This window comes from Homo sapiens, chromosome 12, assembly GCF_000001405.40.
Source record: "Homo sapiens chromosome 12, GRCh38.p14 Primary Assembly".
Classification (NCBI taxonomy): domain Eukaryota; kingdom Metazoa; phylum Chordata; class Mammalia; order Primates; family Hominidae; genus Homo; species Homo sapiens.
The window spans coordinates 82,684,157-82,699,852 of NC_000012.12; the positions used below are offsets into that span (position 1 = coordinate 82,684,157).

The 15,696-nt window shown below is 40.0% G+C and overlaps 1 protein-coding gene across 5 annotated transcripts in view, besides 6 other annotated features; it reads left to right on the top strand.

Moving 5' to 3' along the window:
- Positions 1,701–1,780: a silencer, noted in NCBI's record as "silent region_4686". NCBI's record gives its function as "represses an Ori minimal core promoter by ATAC-STARR-seq in GM12878 lymphoblastoid cells {active_cell/tissue: GM12878}" and the evidence as "EXISTENCE:reporter gene assay evidence [ECO:0000049][PMID:35858748]".
- Positions 2,211–2,360: an enhancer, noted in NCBI's record as "active region_6691". NCBI's record gives its function as "activates an Ori minimal core promoter by ATAC-STARR-seq in GM12878 lymphoblastoid cells {active_cell/tissue: GM12878}" and the evidence as "EXISTENCE:reporter gene assay evidence [ECO:0000049][PMID:35858748]".
- Positions 2,381–2,590: an enhancer, noted in NCBI's record as "active region_6692". NCBI's record gives its function as "activates an Ori minimal core promoter by ATAC-STARR-seq in GM12878 lymphoblastoid cells {active_cell/tissue: GM12878}" and the evidence as "EXISTENCE:reporter gene assay evidence [ECO:0000049][PMID:35858748]".
- Positions 2,631–2,730: a silencer, noted in NCBI's record as "silent region_4687". NCBI's record gives its function as "represses an Ori minimal core promoter by ATAC-STARR-seq in GM12878 lymphoblastoid cells {active_cell/tissue: GM12878}" and the evidence as "EXISTENCE:reporter gene assay evidence [ECO:0000049][PMID:35858748]".
- TMTC2 (transmembrane O-mannosyltransferase targeting cadherins 2) overlaps positions 2,750–15,696 on the top strand; it is a 447,961-nt gene continuing 435,014 nt past the window's right edge. For all 5 annotated transcript variants that reach the window (XM_017018884.3, NM_152588.3, NM_001320321.2 and 2 more), the window contains exon 1: positions 2,750–3,513. Coding sequence is in view for 3 of the 5 variants with exons in the window: in NM_152588.3 (NP_689801.1) it covers positions 3,431–3,513 (83 nt within the window). In the remaining 2 variants the exon portion in view is untranslated. The remainder of the gene's footprint in view (positions 3,514–15,696) is intronic.
- Positions 3,301–3,350: a silencer, noted in NCBI's record as "silent region_4688". NCBI's record gives its function as "represses an Ori minimal core promoter by ATAC-STARR-seq in GM12878 lymphoblastoid cells {active_cell/tissue: GM12878}" and the evidence as "EXISTENCE:reporter gene assay evidence [ECO:0000049][PMID:35858748]".
- Positions 3,711–3,770: a silencer, noted in NCBI's record as "silent region_4689". NCBI's record gives its function as "represses an Ori minimal core promoter by ATAC-STARR-seq in GM12878 lymphoblastoid cells {active_cell/tissue: GM12878}" and the evidence as "EXISTENCE:reporter gene assay evidence [ECO:0000049][PMID:35858748]".

Genomic DNA, 15,696 nt, shown 5'->3' on the forward strand with positions numbered 1-15,696 from the left:
ATATCTGAGTCCTCTTAATAACTGAAGAGACCTGTCCATGTGACTCCCCTTCACGGGTATTCCTGCAGACTTGATGTATTCTGAAAAACTGTGAACCTGCTCCCTTCCTCTCTCCTTGGTTAATACTTCACGATCTTTAACACTAACGACAAACAATAAATCAGCGATGAAAATTTTTGGATTTTCCAGCTGTTACGTAGTTTCTCCTAAGCACATTTATTTTGTTCATTTATTAACAATCTTTTTAAAGTTTCTTCTCCGTGTCCAGATGTTATAGGCTCTGGGTTTTATGTGGAAAAGAAGACTGACAGGATCCCTGACCTCATGGAGCTTCCACTCAGTGGTGCTTCCAGATACTAATACATACTATGAAGAAACTAATACATGGTGGTTGGATAGAGATTGATGGGGGAGAGCCTACTTTATTTCTGAGGTTATGCCATTTGAGCTAAGACCTGAATGGTGAGAAGGAGCTAGAGAAGGTTTGAGGAGAAGAACCTCATGCAGGAGGAAGAGAAAGTGGTTAGTTCCTGAGAAGGATGTCTGTGTTGTACACATATGAACACAACATGAAGCGGGAGGGGTAGTCTGGGCTAAATGAAGGCTTGGCTGGCCATGGTAAGAATTAGTTTTATTAGCTGTAAAACAGGAAGTTGTTGGACATTTAAAAATACAACAGGAAGTTGTGGAACATTTAAAAATTGGGAATGTATAGGTTTTCAAAGGAAACTTCTGCCTAAAGTTAAAATTGGGGAAGGGAGGCATTGCAGGGGTAGAAGTACGGGGACCACTTAGAGGGCTACTGCATTTGTCTATGCAGGAGATGAGGGCAGCTGGGCTGTGGACTCAAGTAGTAAAGATGTGATAGGATGTGTTTTGGAGGTAACTGTCCAGGTTTTTGTTAACAAGTAAAATGAAACGAGGAAGCTAGAAAGCATAGTAATAATGATATACTAGCTAATACTTCTGTAGCACTTTCCTGGTCCCTTTTAGATATTTTACATAGGTTAACTACTTTAATACTCATAATAACAGTACTCATAAGATAAGTACTATTATTATCACTGTTTCATAGATTAGAAAACAGAGTCACAAAGAGGTTGAACGACTGGCCAAAGATCGCCCAAATAGTAATAGCAGAGTATGCACTCAAACTTAAACATCTGATCCCACAGTATGTGTTCTTCCTTCAGTGTTCTAGGACACCATATACATATTTTATATATACTATATATATCTCAGCATGTAAGTGCATTGGAGAGACACAGAGCATCAGGATGGACTAACTGATATGATTTTCAAAATTTTCAAGTGAGCAAAGGTTATGGAGGAAAAGGGTAAAAGATCAGTCCCTACCTGTAAAGACATAATTCCTTTTATTTTTGTTTACATATATTTGTCCAGGGCACAAAAAATGTGCTACTGTGGATGGCATAACAGGTATAATATTAATAAATATTCATCATTTTATCTGTGTGTATCCAATACAGATTTCTCAGATTTCCTTGTGAAATCAGGGAAATATGTAGCTTTGTTCTACAGAAGCCCAGACCACGGTATTTTCTTTCCAGGCCACTGCTAGACACCCAGGGGGCTCAATTTCTTGCCACAGTTTCGGAGAGCTTGCTGGTTAGGTGCTGCTCTTGGTTGGAACCAGTCGGCCCGCATGCAAAACAGACCTGTCTTCCACACCTTGTGGTTACTATGCAGCAGGGGGCGCTGCAGTAGTGTACATCGCGGTGCACCGGAGCTACTCTCCTGGCCAGAAAGCCAACAAGCCGGGAGGAGGCGTGTCAGGCAGCCCTGGGTCCTCTTTGGTCTTGCAACTTTAGTACCCAGAGCTTGTTCTACACAGACCATTCTACACCATATTTCACCATGTTGGATGCTTTCCATCCAGTCCTGCCTCCGAGCGGAAAGGAAAGGGCATTAGCTTACTGCCTTACTAGGTTTAAGTATAATGCTGTACCGGCTTGCACTAGAGGTTTCTCTCCTGTGTTCTCAGGGTCAACCCGACAGTCCCTCTGAAACCACGAAGGGGTCCCCGGGCAGTTGCTGCGGGGTGTGTGTGTGTCTTTCTTTCCCTTTTTGGGGTCCTTTCTTTTTAACCTTACTGAAGGAGGAAACGTTTCTCTCCCTACACGTCTTTCCACTGACATTGTGGCCAACCGTAGGCTAAGAGCTGAAATCTCTCCTTCCTAAGTTGCCTCCAAGCTCTCCAATACTACCTCCTCCCCCCCATTTAGTCTCACACACAGTGTGCGTGAGAGATCGCCAGTGAGTTTGTGACAACCGAAGCTGCAGCAGTCGCCAAACCTGTTCTTCCTCTCCCGGTCTCAGAAGTCTCTCCAGCTGACCGGACTTACGCCTGGCAGCTCTTGGCACACACAGCGCTGTGGCTGAGATTCAGCCGTGCCAGGCGCTGCCAGGCAGCAGCGGGGCGACCGACCACCTCCTCCTCGACCTCCTTTCTCCCAGCTTCCCCTCCCAGGGTGCACTGTATCTACTCCTTTGGGCTGTCTTCCAGCCGTCGCCCTTGGGTCCCGGGGGCTTTCCAGAGTGAAATCGAAGGTGAAAGAAACAAGAGGACGGGAGGCTGGTAGGAGGAGCCTCCAGGCCGGGGAGGGTGGGAGGAGCCTCCAGCCCGAGGGGCAGGGTAGGAGGAGCCTTCCGGGAGGATCTGGGTGGAGAAAGGGGCTGGGCCAAGCCGGGATGGAGGGTTGGTCACGCAGGCGCGGGGGGCCGCGTCGAGAACCCCACGCGGGAGCTTCTGGAGTCTCCAGCCACCGCTTCTCACTTCACTGGAGAAGGGAGCTGGGGCTGGGGCTGGGGCTGGGGCTGGGAGGGAGCTAATAAACATTGAATGTGCAGCAGCTGCCTTGGCGGCCGGAGTCCGCCCGAGCGACACCGGAGCAGTGCGCCCGGGAGGCGGCGAGGGGAGGCGGTTCGCCTTGTCCCTCCCACCCGCGCCTCTTTCTCTCTCTTCCTCCAGCTGGTCCCAGAGCCCGGCTTGGTCCGGTCCCTCTGCCCCCATCCCGCACCCTTCCACCTCCTCCGAGTCCCACTCCTCACCTAGGACGCCCCAAACTGCCATGGGTTAGGGTGGGGATCGCGACCCGCGCGAAAGACCAGCCCTGCGCTTCCGCCGGGGGACGCGGAGCCCAAACGCCGCTCACCGCTTGCGGGCGCCGGGCATGGGGAGTGTGGTGTGAGCCCGCACCCGGGGAGGACGCAGGAGCTGCGGAGACGGGCGCGAGGAGGAGGAGAGGAGTCGTGGATTGGAAGGACCCGAGGGAGGGAGGGTGGGGAAGCGAGGGAAAAGTGAAGCTGGGAGGAGAAGGCGGCGGAAGGTGGAGATTGATGCTTCTGTTTTTTGTTGCCGCTGCTGCCCTCGCGCTGGGAGCCGAGCCGGAGGGAAGGCGGTGGAGAGATGATTGCAGAGTTGGTGAGCAGCGCTCTGGGGCTCGCCTTGTATCTCAACACCCTGAGTGCGGATTTCTGCTATGATGACAGGTAAGGGGCCGAGAGGAGGGGGCGACGGGCTGCAGGGGGCACACTCCGCAGTGGCTCTGAAGCTTCCCTCTTTAAGGCTCAAAGTGCGTCTTGGAGGAACTGGTTCAGCACCTGATGGTTTAGGCGACACGTAAACATTAACACCTAAATCAAACACCGGGGACGTGAGGCGCGCTGGGCGGGCCGAGGGAGTTTCCGCTCCTAGTTTGCAGCAGGTTCTCTCCCTTGCTTCTCGGCTGTTGGCAGACGCTTGAGTTTCTTAGCGGAAATCCCGGCAATTTGGGAAACTGTTTAATGAACGTATTAAATTAAAGTCTTAGGTATTCCTTGATGCAACAAAGCACATTAAGTGATTTTACGTCTGGTTGGGAGGAAGCCTCTCCTCGATCCCTGATAGATCCTCCCTGTCCCGTTTCCTTTTATTGATGGGACACTTTTATTTCCCGAAGTTAAAACACACGTTTGATAGTTGCCAAAATTGTGAAAAGGGAGATCGTTCTCTGCTTTAACTTTCCCTTTTAACGTGTATAGACTTTTACTTTGAGCCAAAATAATGCTGCTGATGGTCTCTCCCGCCGCCCTAGCCTCCTTCACCAATCCATTGGGCAGCACTTTATAAAAGCCTCGGCTTTCTCATTTCTGTTTGGGAGTTGTACATTAGATGTTAGTGGTTCTTTTGTACTAATTGGAGAAGAAGACGCCCCTAGAGACTGAAGTTGTCTTCTGCACTTAGGTTAGTTTGGGTGGCTAATGAGACCTGAACTGTGTTGTCAAAGAAACTGCATCGATTTCTGGAAAATGTCACCGTTGTGTTGGTGTCTCTTCCTATCTTTTAAACGTTATTAGTGTTCAGAAAGTGATGAAAAGCCCCTATATCCATTAGGGAAAATTCCAATTTGTGTCCTTCCGGTGTCTTAATCTGATTACAATTAAAACAGATGCATAATTAAAATATATTAGGGATAACAGCACGCCTGGCTAAACTTATTAACCGTCCTGGGGTGTTTCATGCTCCATTGAAATTAAACCATCCAAAAAGTGAGCACAGATTTACTTTGACAGCTTTTCAGCAGCCTCTCTGAGCTATGAAAAGTGAATGGATCCCCAGGGTTAGGGCGAGGCAGTGAGAGCACTTACGCAAAGTGGTTGACAGTGAGGGGAGGTGAAGGCAGAATCTTCTTCTCGTCGTAATTAGCCACATTCTGTATTCTCTGGTGTGCCCATTCTCCTGCTAAAAGCATCTTCACATCTCTGTTAAAAAATCACCTGATAATAGGTGCCAGAACATCCAGCAAACCCGTCTTAATGCATTTTATGTAGTGCCTACCAGAGGCTAGTTGATAGGGAACCACTGTTAGACATACATTTTTTCTTAACTTTTACGCAGCATACTGATTTTAGCAACTACACAGCATGCTCTGAGAAATGGTCTGTAGGAGTGAGGTAAATTTCTGTTCTCTCCAATTTTGTGTAATGGTGCACCTGCTATTTCTAGCATATTCGTGGAAAAAGCCCTTGTTTCCAAAGATGGGTGACTTTTCACTAAAACCAGCTTGGGTCAGTGTGGGCAGTTACTGGCTCTGTTGGGGGCGGTTTGAATAGTAAGCATTTAAACCAAGAATATAGAGTTTATTTAAAAAAAGAAACTTACTATAATAATGCAACTTGATGGGTGACTTTTCACTAAAACCACCTTGGGTCAGTGTGGGCAGTTACTGGCTCTTGGGGGCAGTTTGAATAGTAAGCATTTAAACCAAGAATATAGAGTTTATTTAAAAAAAGAAACTTATTATAATAATGCAACTTGTTATAGAACACGGTGGTGAATCAAGTATTCCTATTGTATGCCCTTGTTCATTGCTGTCTAATCCTTAAGAAAATACACATCAGAAGAAGCCATTCTTTAAAAATTAAGGTTAAATTTGGATATGCATTTTTCTATAGGTATAATTGTTCTGTGCTCTTGAGTCATCAGAAGTGTTAGGACTGGACCTTGTAACTTGGAAGAATGGTGTGAGTGTGATGATAAATTAGTTGTGCTTTGATGGTTGGCAGTTGTAAGTTTTTCAGATGCAATAGTCTAATGGAGTGTTAAAATTCGTGACTTCTATCTTGTAGCTACATAGGTGAATATAGTATGATTATTTGCCCATATGATTTTATTGATAGCATGCTCAATATGATGTCTAGATAGTATATATTGATAAAATATTGAGGGCCTGTAACTGTGAATTATACTTTGCTACAATTTGAAAAGTGTATTTTACACTGATTTCTTAGCAGAACTACATATGCCATCACATATTCTTAGAATGTGAAATCTTAAGAGCAGCAAACTTTGTTTTTATGTATCCTAGAAATTATGAGACACATAAATAGGAGCACTGAACTTATTTGTTGTATGCACAGCCTGTTCAAGTGATTCATTGTGAAGTTACACTATAAATTGTGGCTTTTCTGATATATTTTCTATCTAACTACTGTAACTCACTGGTGTGTGAAGGGGGAGGAAAGCTGGGGAGCCAAGTGTAAACTGTAGGATGATGATAATTTGTTTATTTCCGCTACTACATTTCAGATGCAAAGATTCATGTTTAAAACATTGCTTAAACTAGACCTGTGGATTCTGCTGCCCTCCAGGAACTTTTGTGAAATCCAGTTCTGTAAGGAGAGGCCAGTGCCAGAAGTGAAGGGAGAAGCACTCAAGGGAGATGGCTGTTATTCCTGACTTGCTTAACTAAATCATTATTGCTGTGGTACTTCTCAAGGTTATCATTTCTTTTAAATATAGTGATCGTTTACTTTATAAACTATATATAATTTCTTTCCATGTTTGATGTAGCTTGGTTGAAATTAAATGGTAACATGAAACTTTCTTATAGCACAATCAATTTCTCTATGGTAAAATTTAATATTTTACAAGTGTTTCTGTGCTAAATTTAAGAATATGCCTCTGATGTGATGAAACAAACAGTGGAGGAGAAGAATTCACAGTATCTGATGAAAAAGGGTATGTGGTTTCAGCTTCATCCTCCCTCCCCTTGCTTTCAATCTAGTATTGAATCTTAAGTTGTGGTTAGAGGAAAATTGAAATTAACAATATGCAGTCTTTGCCAAATTTTAAGTTATGTTGTATGTGATTCCTTAAAGGATTTTCTCTTATTTTCTGGAGAAATTTGGTGTTTAGGTCAGTGGTAAAACTTCTCTGACCCAAAACTCTCTGCATTCTTACGCATTTGTTGAGGATGACATGGCATCACTTTTTTCTTATCCTTTTTAATAATACTGTTATGAGTTTCTTATGGAGATAACACCATGAGAGGAGTCAGTTTACTTCAAAGCAGACAAAGGTAAACAAACCATAACTGTTCTAAACTTTAGAAGTCTGATTTCACTTAGCACATATCTTCTAATTGGTGACATGCCCTTTTTATACATCGACAAGTAAATAAGATAATGCAACTTTTACATGCTTTAAATTCTCATATGAGTAAAATAATTTATTAGTTTGCAAAGACAATTTGCAGGTTTGGAAGTAGAAAATATATTTGCGACTCCTCTGAAAATTTATTTTCTTATTGCCCATTTTGCATTTGTTAAACTCAACCAGAATCATTAATGTTACCTGTAGATCTCTTAGCTATTCCACTGTGCAGTAATTTTTTGAAACTTGGAGAAACAACTACACAGCAGAAGTTTCTACTATGGAATTAAAATTACATCAAGCTCTTAATAATTCACTCCTAGTTAGCTTTTCATTTGGGTATAAATGGAAATCTCAGTTTTTATAAACACATGAGTTAATTTTTTCTTTATAATGATTTTAATATTATTTAAAATGAAGGAATGGAATTTAAGTATATTAACAATTTTTTTAAAACCTGCATTCTTTCTAAAGATATTGAACTATTATTTCTGCTTGATCTTTTAATGTTATTGTTAGTTTGGGTTTTTTGACCTGGTATGATAGGAATCCCTCGTGAAATAATCACTCTGTTAACTTATCTTTAAAAAGTTCTCTCTAATAGACTTGTCTTTGACCAATCTGAGATTGTTATCTTAAGATTCCAGCATGTGTAACTACTGAAGGCAGGCCTGGTATTTAGTAAAAAGCATGTTTAGAAAGAATTACTATATAATTAAGTAAGGGAGAAGCTCTCTTTGTATCAGTGGTTGTCTTATCAAGTGATTATTATAAGAAGCCACTGTATACAGAAGTATGGTCTTACTCTTCAGTTTCCTTCCCAGTTTTCACTGGAATACAAGTTAGAGTTTATAAATTATTTTAGGTGGCATTTTATTTTCTAACTACATTTTGATTGTTTAAACAAACCTATTTGGAAAAAGTTCATTTTGCTGTTTTGAATAAGTATATCTCATCAATAAATTAAAATTAGGTGAAGTCAGTATGAACCGCTTTACCTCCATTGAGCCTGTCACATGATGTTTATCATAGTAATTGACCCACATACATGCATTGAATGGACATGTGCAAATGCCACAGGGAAAATTGCCATCTGTCTCTTAGTTGTTTTCATACACACATACACACACACATACATGCACGATTATTACATTTACATTGGTGATTCTATGGGCTTTTGTTTTGTCATCTGCACTTAGTTCTTCAGTGCTAATGTGCCCCTGTTGTTAATACTGAATTCTCTTCTGCTATAATTTTGAAATAGCAACAACCTTTTGCATTCCAGCATGCATTAGGAACATAGTTTGTCTTTCTAACAGTTTTGTTGCTGCTCAGCACACTAAAAGCACTTTTCAAAAAAATGCCTCTGGTGGTACAACTGTCTTTCGTAGGCTAAAGGTGCGTTGTCTCTAAAGCAGGAACCTTTGTAATATTAGGAAAGGATGACGTTTACCCTTAAGGCTCTTTGAAAAATCTGTGGCTGACAAACCTACTTTCTTATAACTTTATTATACTCATCTGAAGTGCTTTTAACACAGCAACTTTCATCTGTTAACCTTTCTGGTTCTCTCTTAGGAGCAGAGTATTGTATCAGCTTTGGATACTTATTTTAATGGCTTCACAAAAGTGACAAGTGTGGCAGCCTCCAAGGAAAGGAACGGTGGGTTATTGAATGTAAAGACCTCTCCTCTATAAATAGCTGTCCTCATTTAGGAGCTCAGTTTTTTAAAAAAGTGGAGGGATATTTCAGCAGGACTGCATACCTTCTTTTTTTCATTGGGTGAAAAAGGCATAATATTTTGAATAATTGCTGGTGTAATTACATACAGTGCTAAATGTTTCTTTGAAGATATGATTTGTATGTGCTTTTGAGGAATAAACTTACATTCAATAATTCACAAATTATGAATATTACTACATATGAGCTTCTTTGTATATGTAGTGCATAGTACAACTACAGCACTGCTTACCTTGTTAACAAGCATCCCACAAAACATTGTGCATTCTTACCTGTACTTTAGCAGGTACTGTAAAGGGTTTGAATCTGAGAGTCTAATGATAGATCTATACAAATGCTGATAGGTTGACCTCTGGCAGGTGGAATTCCACTTGAATTTATCACTTGATTGTTACCTTTTAATTATTTTACTCATGTTTATTTTTATTGATACTCATATTTAAAAACTTTCATTGGGAGTCTGTTAGCTTCTTTTCCAAAACACTCACTCCTAAGATTCATGATTGGTACTTTGGCCTGGCCTTATTTTGGGTCTGTACTTACTGGTGCTTCATTCATACATGCAGAAGCTTTGGAATGCCTCTTCCAAATGTCTCTTTCCTACTTGTTCAGGACAGTCGTTTTTCTTGGATGTCTGAACTCTTTGAGTTGACTAGATTTGCCTCAACTTGTCATAGGGATTCAAGATTTTTGCCTCAGGTTTTTGGCCGTATTTTCAAGACAGTTAGGTCCAAAAAGATGCAGCTCTTCTAAATTTCTGTCTCACCCTCTTCCTCTCTTTTTCTCCTCTGTGTTTACCTTTCCAGTTATATTTGTCAGTTGTTTTGATACTCAAGGTTTCTAGAATAAAAGGTGTGGCCGGGCGCGGTGGCTCACGCCTGTAATCCTAGCACTTTGGGAGGCCGAGGCGGGTGGATCACGAGTTCAGGAGTTGGAGACCAGCCTGGCCAACGTGGTGAAACCTCGTCTCTACTAAAAATATAAAAATTAGCCAGGCATGGTGGCGGGTGCCTGTAACCCCCGCTACTCAGGAGGCTGAAGCAGGAAAATCTCTTGAAACTGGAAGGCGGAGGATGCAGTGAGCCAAGATCGCGCCACCATACTCCAGCCTGGTCAACAAGAGTGAAACTCCATCTCAAAAAAAAAAAAAAAAAAAAAAAGGTGTAAATGTTTGCTTCAGTCTTTTAGAAGCATTTTGGGATTGGTTTTTTGGGTTTATAACTTTGACTTTTTTTTAATACAGGTAAATGGGAAACAATTAAGTAAACCTATCTGTGTAAACCTGAGAATTTTGAAAAAGGCAGGAGGACTGAAATGATTGTTTTCAAGATTCCACATTAAAAGTTGATAGCATTTTTTAGAGTAGTTTATTTTATTTAAGGACATTTCATAAGTTCCATTAATTTGAAAAGCTAGAGATAATTATTTTAAAGATGAGATAGAGAGGTTTTGATTTATTCATGTCTAAAAAAATTATATGGAAAAAAGGTGAGAATTGAAAATATGAACCCTGGATTTAGATTCCATTTTATTGTGGAATTAAATGGAATTAAAGATATATTTACTTTTCTTGAAGGTTATTCCTGTACCACATTGCTTGAGGGCAGTGCCACTGTATCCGTTTTAGAAGTACCTTAGTATTTGGCAGAGGATATGCTATTTGCTTATGATGATTCGATAAAGCTTTTGTTTCTTAATTTCTTTGCCGGGGCATTTTGTGATGTTGCAGTGAGACATGGTATGAAGTGTGGCACAGCATGTAGTTATAGTCAAGATGACTGGCTAAATTACATGATTTCTGAAATGAAACACACATTAGTGCCCTTGGAATAGCAGCTGTGTGCTAGGTATTATCAAATAAAATGTTTCTGTGAGGTCTTTGTCTTTGATGATTAATCATCATTTTTGTGAAATTTATTATAAAAGTATAATTATTCCACAGGAGATTTAAGTTAAAAAAAAAAACTGGTTCACTATAGCCATGTGATCATAATTTGTTTAATTAGGAAACGGTATAAAAAATTGCCTTGCGGTAACGGAATTGATTGAGATTTGAAACCGAAAAATTCACGACTTTTGATAATGAAAGTGCCTTTTTCCTAATTGTGATTCCAGAGATTATTGATTTCCTTAGAAGTAGAAAATTTTGACTGTACCAGCCTAGGAATTCTCACTTGACATCATTTAGAAGTATTTTAACTTCAAAGGATGTGTTATTTGCTGAAGAGTGGCCACTGGGACGCAATATGGCTCTTGACATTTTGAACAGTGTTAAATGATGGGACTGAAGTATTTCAAACAGCCATGTTTCAACATTGTTTAAAAATCCGGTGGGAAGAATGGCAGTCCATATAACCCTGCATACTTGGAATTCTTTGGTTATTAATTTGAAGTGCAGTTCATAAGTTTATTTCTTACCTAATAAGTTTTTAAGGTGAATAATGCTCATAAAATTTTTACAGCTGTGTCTTATGAAATTCTGTTTCCTTTTTTTGGTTGCTTATATGTATTCTATAAAGACACTGAAAGGATGCAAACTATTCTCTTGCTTTTTTTGTTTTTATGTTAATCTGTTAGGTCATAGATCTGTGTTAAGATCATTGTTATAAAGCATATTGTTATTGAGTTCTATTGTAAACCCAAAATTACAAAACTGGTCTTTGAGAGAGGTAGATAAGTCAAAATACTTTGTGAAAAGTAAACATCTTGTTTTTGTTAATTTCCAATTTGTTCCACAATGAAAGCATGTCTGCTCAGTTTTCTTTTCTGTTAGTTGTGTCTCTTGGATTAAATGTGAGTAAATAAACTCTGGAGTAAGGCTGCTCCAGAGGGAACTCAAGGACTTACTGGTTGTCAGTGCATGTAGAAGTGACATCCCTGCAAATTGTGTCCTCTGCGGGGGGTGCTTTAGGTGGTGGCTATAGAGATTACATTCATAGGCTTGACTGCTTTTCTGTTTGGGGAGGACACTTGTCATTACAGAACCATTCCGAAGAAGGGGTTCTCAAAGTGGGGCTGGCAGCTGAAATTAGCCTATAGTGGTTCCTCTGGGACATTTCTCATGGTTTTGTAAATTGGTTTTTGGCTACTTCTGCATTCCTATCTTCAGCTTTAAGAAACTAGGCCTGTTGCCTTCAGTTGTAAAATGTCTCAAGGTAAAATAGTTGGGTTCAAATGTTTTTTCAAGTATATTTCCTTTAGAACAAGTTCCTCCTCTCCTGCCCCAAATAATTAACTATACAACTGTTCTCCCAAAGCAATGGAAAAGATCTCATTTTGACAAAGCAAGCTGTTTATGACAAATTTTCCAACTAGAAATTTGCAGAAGAAAAGTTCTCAAATGATGAAGAAGCTTAATCAGGCAAAAAGACATTTTTATTTGCAGAAATAGGCCCTTTAGAGGGAGGCAATTATTTATAGCTGATAGGAAAAACTGGTATACCTGAATTCGTTTGGTAAACTTCATTTAAAATAGGAAGGTTATTCTTGTTATTCTAGTGAAAGAAAAAAAATATGGTACTGAATTATGTTACAGATTTATATTAAAGAAACAAAGTTTTATACATTAAACCACTCTTACAGGGATATATACTGATTTAACTAAAGAAAATGAATTTGAGATTTAATAAAAATCTTTTAAAGATACCAGTGTGCAGCTTGAAATCAACTATAGTGTACCATGAATATCTATTTGAAATACCCAGTTGAAATGACCACATTAAGATTGCTTCCTTTCACCTCTCTATTTAAGTTTAAATTTACTTTTTTTCTTTTATAAACAGTGGTGTTTTTTGGCTTTTGTTCCATATTGAACAGAGGATGAAATCAGTATTTCAAAACCTCTTGTATGTCATCAGGATAAATAGTGTAGTATTTCTAGGAGGGAATTATTGGTTGGCCACTTTTCAATACACTCCTGGCATGATGTTGAGGATGCCTGTGGCTGGCAAGGAGTTTTAGACCTGGCCCTCTGATAACTTGCCTCCCTGCTTTCATATGGACAATTGACTTTTTAAAAGTCTTTTTAAGTGCAGTTCAAATTCAAATTCCCAGTTTTTTGGAGCTAGAAGCATCTCCCTAAAGGGATGCTGAGATGGCTTCTTGCCAGCTCTCTTTCTACATACATACATACGTATATATATATATATATATGTTTCTATTAATAGATCAGTGCTACCCTAACTTCAACCTCTGTGGGAAACACATATGGACTTGTTAAAAATGCAGATTTTGGCCGGGCGCAGTGGCTCATGCCTGTAATCCCAGTACTTTGGGAGGCCGAAGGAGGTGGATCATGAGGTCAGGAGATTGAGACCATCCTGGTCAACATGGTGAAACCCCGTCTCTACTAAAATACAAAAAATTAACTGGGCATGGTGATGCATCCCTGTAATCCCAGCTACTCAGGAGGCTGAGGCAGGGGAATTGCTTGAACCTGGTGAGCAGAGAATGCAGTAGGCCAAGATCACGCCACTGCACTCCAGCCTGGTGACAGCCTGTCTCAAAAAAAAAAAAAAAAAAAAGGAAAAAAAAACAATGCAGGTTTTGCATTACTGTTATTCCCACGTACAGCAGATGCTGCAGATTCACTGACCACACTTAGGGTAATAAGGCTGTAGTTCATTTAAATGTATTACAGATAAGCTATCTAAATTCCTGGATTAAAAATGGTTGAGTATAAGGTGTGCTTGTTATGGATATGACTTTAGACAGTTTATTTAATCTGTGTTTTATTTTTCTTATTTGTTCAACAACGGCATCTTTAAGTTGATCCTATGAGTTTGAGGTATTCAGATTTTGAAAAGATAGCTTGTTGAAATCCTAGGCGATGATCTCTATTTAAATAATCTGTCACCATCATATAAAACAATGTCATCTTCTTTGTAAGATGACTGTGGGGGCAGATATTGGATTCTCATTTTGACAAATAAACTGATACGCAGTTGCCTAGGGCTTATGCTCAAGTAGGTGCTGATGCCTAAATGGAGTCTCTAGAGTCAAGTGTCTTTATTGGTTTGTGCTTTTGTTGAACAACCCATTTTGAGGAAATTTGGTTTGCATTGCATGAAGACTTTATAGATTTCAGGCAAGCAGCAAAAATGAGAGTTTAGGTAGCTGAAAGTAGGAAGATAAAAATTTGTTATTGATTATTATTAGTGACATTCAGGCACCAAGTGATGCTCTTCAGTGAAGGTATCTAAGTAAGGTTAGAAATGCTTCGGCCTGTATGACTTTTTAACCTGGTACACTTAAACCTTAGCTTTAAGGCACCTTGGGGGGTTTCTGAATAGGTGAATGCACTATATCTGAAGTTTTAAAGTCCTAGTTAATAAAAACCTTTTTAAGGAACTTGTTGTAAAATGAGTTATACTTTTTCCTTTCTTTTTAAAATACTGTATGTACTGTGTAGTAGAGGCAGGGTTGTGAACGAATGCTGGACCAAGATAAAAGATTACAGTTTTAGTCTTGGAATACCACTGTACTAGCTAAGTACTTGAGCTGCTCAGCTCTCATGAACTCAGTATTTTAATTGGTCAGGAAACAAAAATAATAATAGTAACTGCCAACCACAGAGTGAGACTCAAATGAAATAATATGATGAACGTTCTCTGTGGTTTTAAAAAGCTGCATGGTTATATACTTAGCTGTAGAGTGGTTGGACCAGGGGGCTGAATGACTTGGTTGATCACTGTACATTAAGTACAGCTGTCCCCGCTTATCCTTGGAAGATTTATTCCAAAACCCCCAGTGTATGCCTGAAACTGAGGACAGTACCAAACCCTGTATATAGTATAGTATGTTTTCCTCCATACATACATACCTGTGATAAAGTTTAATTTATAATATAAAGTAGGCACAGTAAGAGATTAATAATAATAACTAATAACAAAATAGAACAGTTATAATATACAAGCACCACTACTCTTGTGCTTGGAGTCCATATTAAATAAAATAAAAGTCACTTGAACACAAACACTGTGATACCTCGTCAATTGATCTGATTAACCGAGAGCTATTAAGTGATGAATGAGCGGGTAGTGTAGACTGTTGGATTCGCTGGACCAAAGGATGATTCACATCCAGGGTGGGATAGGGCAGGATGGCATGCAGTTTCATCATGCTACTCAGAACAATGTGCCCTTTACAACTTATGAATTGTTTATTCCTGGAATTTTCCTTTTAATATTTTTGGACCATAGTTGACCATGGGTAACTGAAACCATGGATAAGGGGGTCTACTGTATCTCACTCTCATCTCCCGTGAGAACAGAGCCATGCCCTACTTTGATGCTGTTGCTGACTTTTTCACTTGGAGTCTGTGGTTGAGCCCCTGCTATCTGAACTACTATTGCATGGCCTGCTCCATCCCCCATACACCGTTTCTGCTTTTACTCTCTATCCACTCTTGTGGCCAGCAGTTTCCAGTCTCATTACAAAAGCAGTTTTTGTTCTCTTCTGTTTCTTTTCTGTTGCTTTTCCTATGTTTCTAGTCATTGTACACGAAGGCTTATTTTGAATAGGCATTCTGGCCAACCTGAGTACTTCTTTCCTTCTGCGGAGTAAACCGACCAATTACAGTGCATCTGGTATAAATAGTCTTTGGTACTTTGGTTCTGCTTGGCAGAGCATATTGTTACTGGGTACTCATGGTCTCTCTCTTCATTGACGACCCTTTTTCTTTTTGGAATACGCTCATATTCAGAGTAGTTCTGGCAGTGTGGCGATTAGGAAAGCTGTTTGTCAGATGAGCTGCAGTTTTCCTGCACCGACGTGTTTGTGTCAATCAGTTTTGTATATCAAGAATTTGCAGTGAGTTTTGTTTAACACAGGTGCAGGGTGGCAACGTGTAATAAATTAGCCTGGTGGTACATTTTGGGTAACAATTATAAAAAATGTCTTTCAGAGTTTTTCAAACAACAAGGAGGCAAAGAGTAAAGATCACAGAATTTTGGAATCAGAGGTCCAGTGATCTAATCCCAGAACTATTATAGCCAGCCCTCCACATACCTGGGTTCTGCAT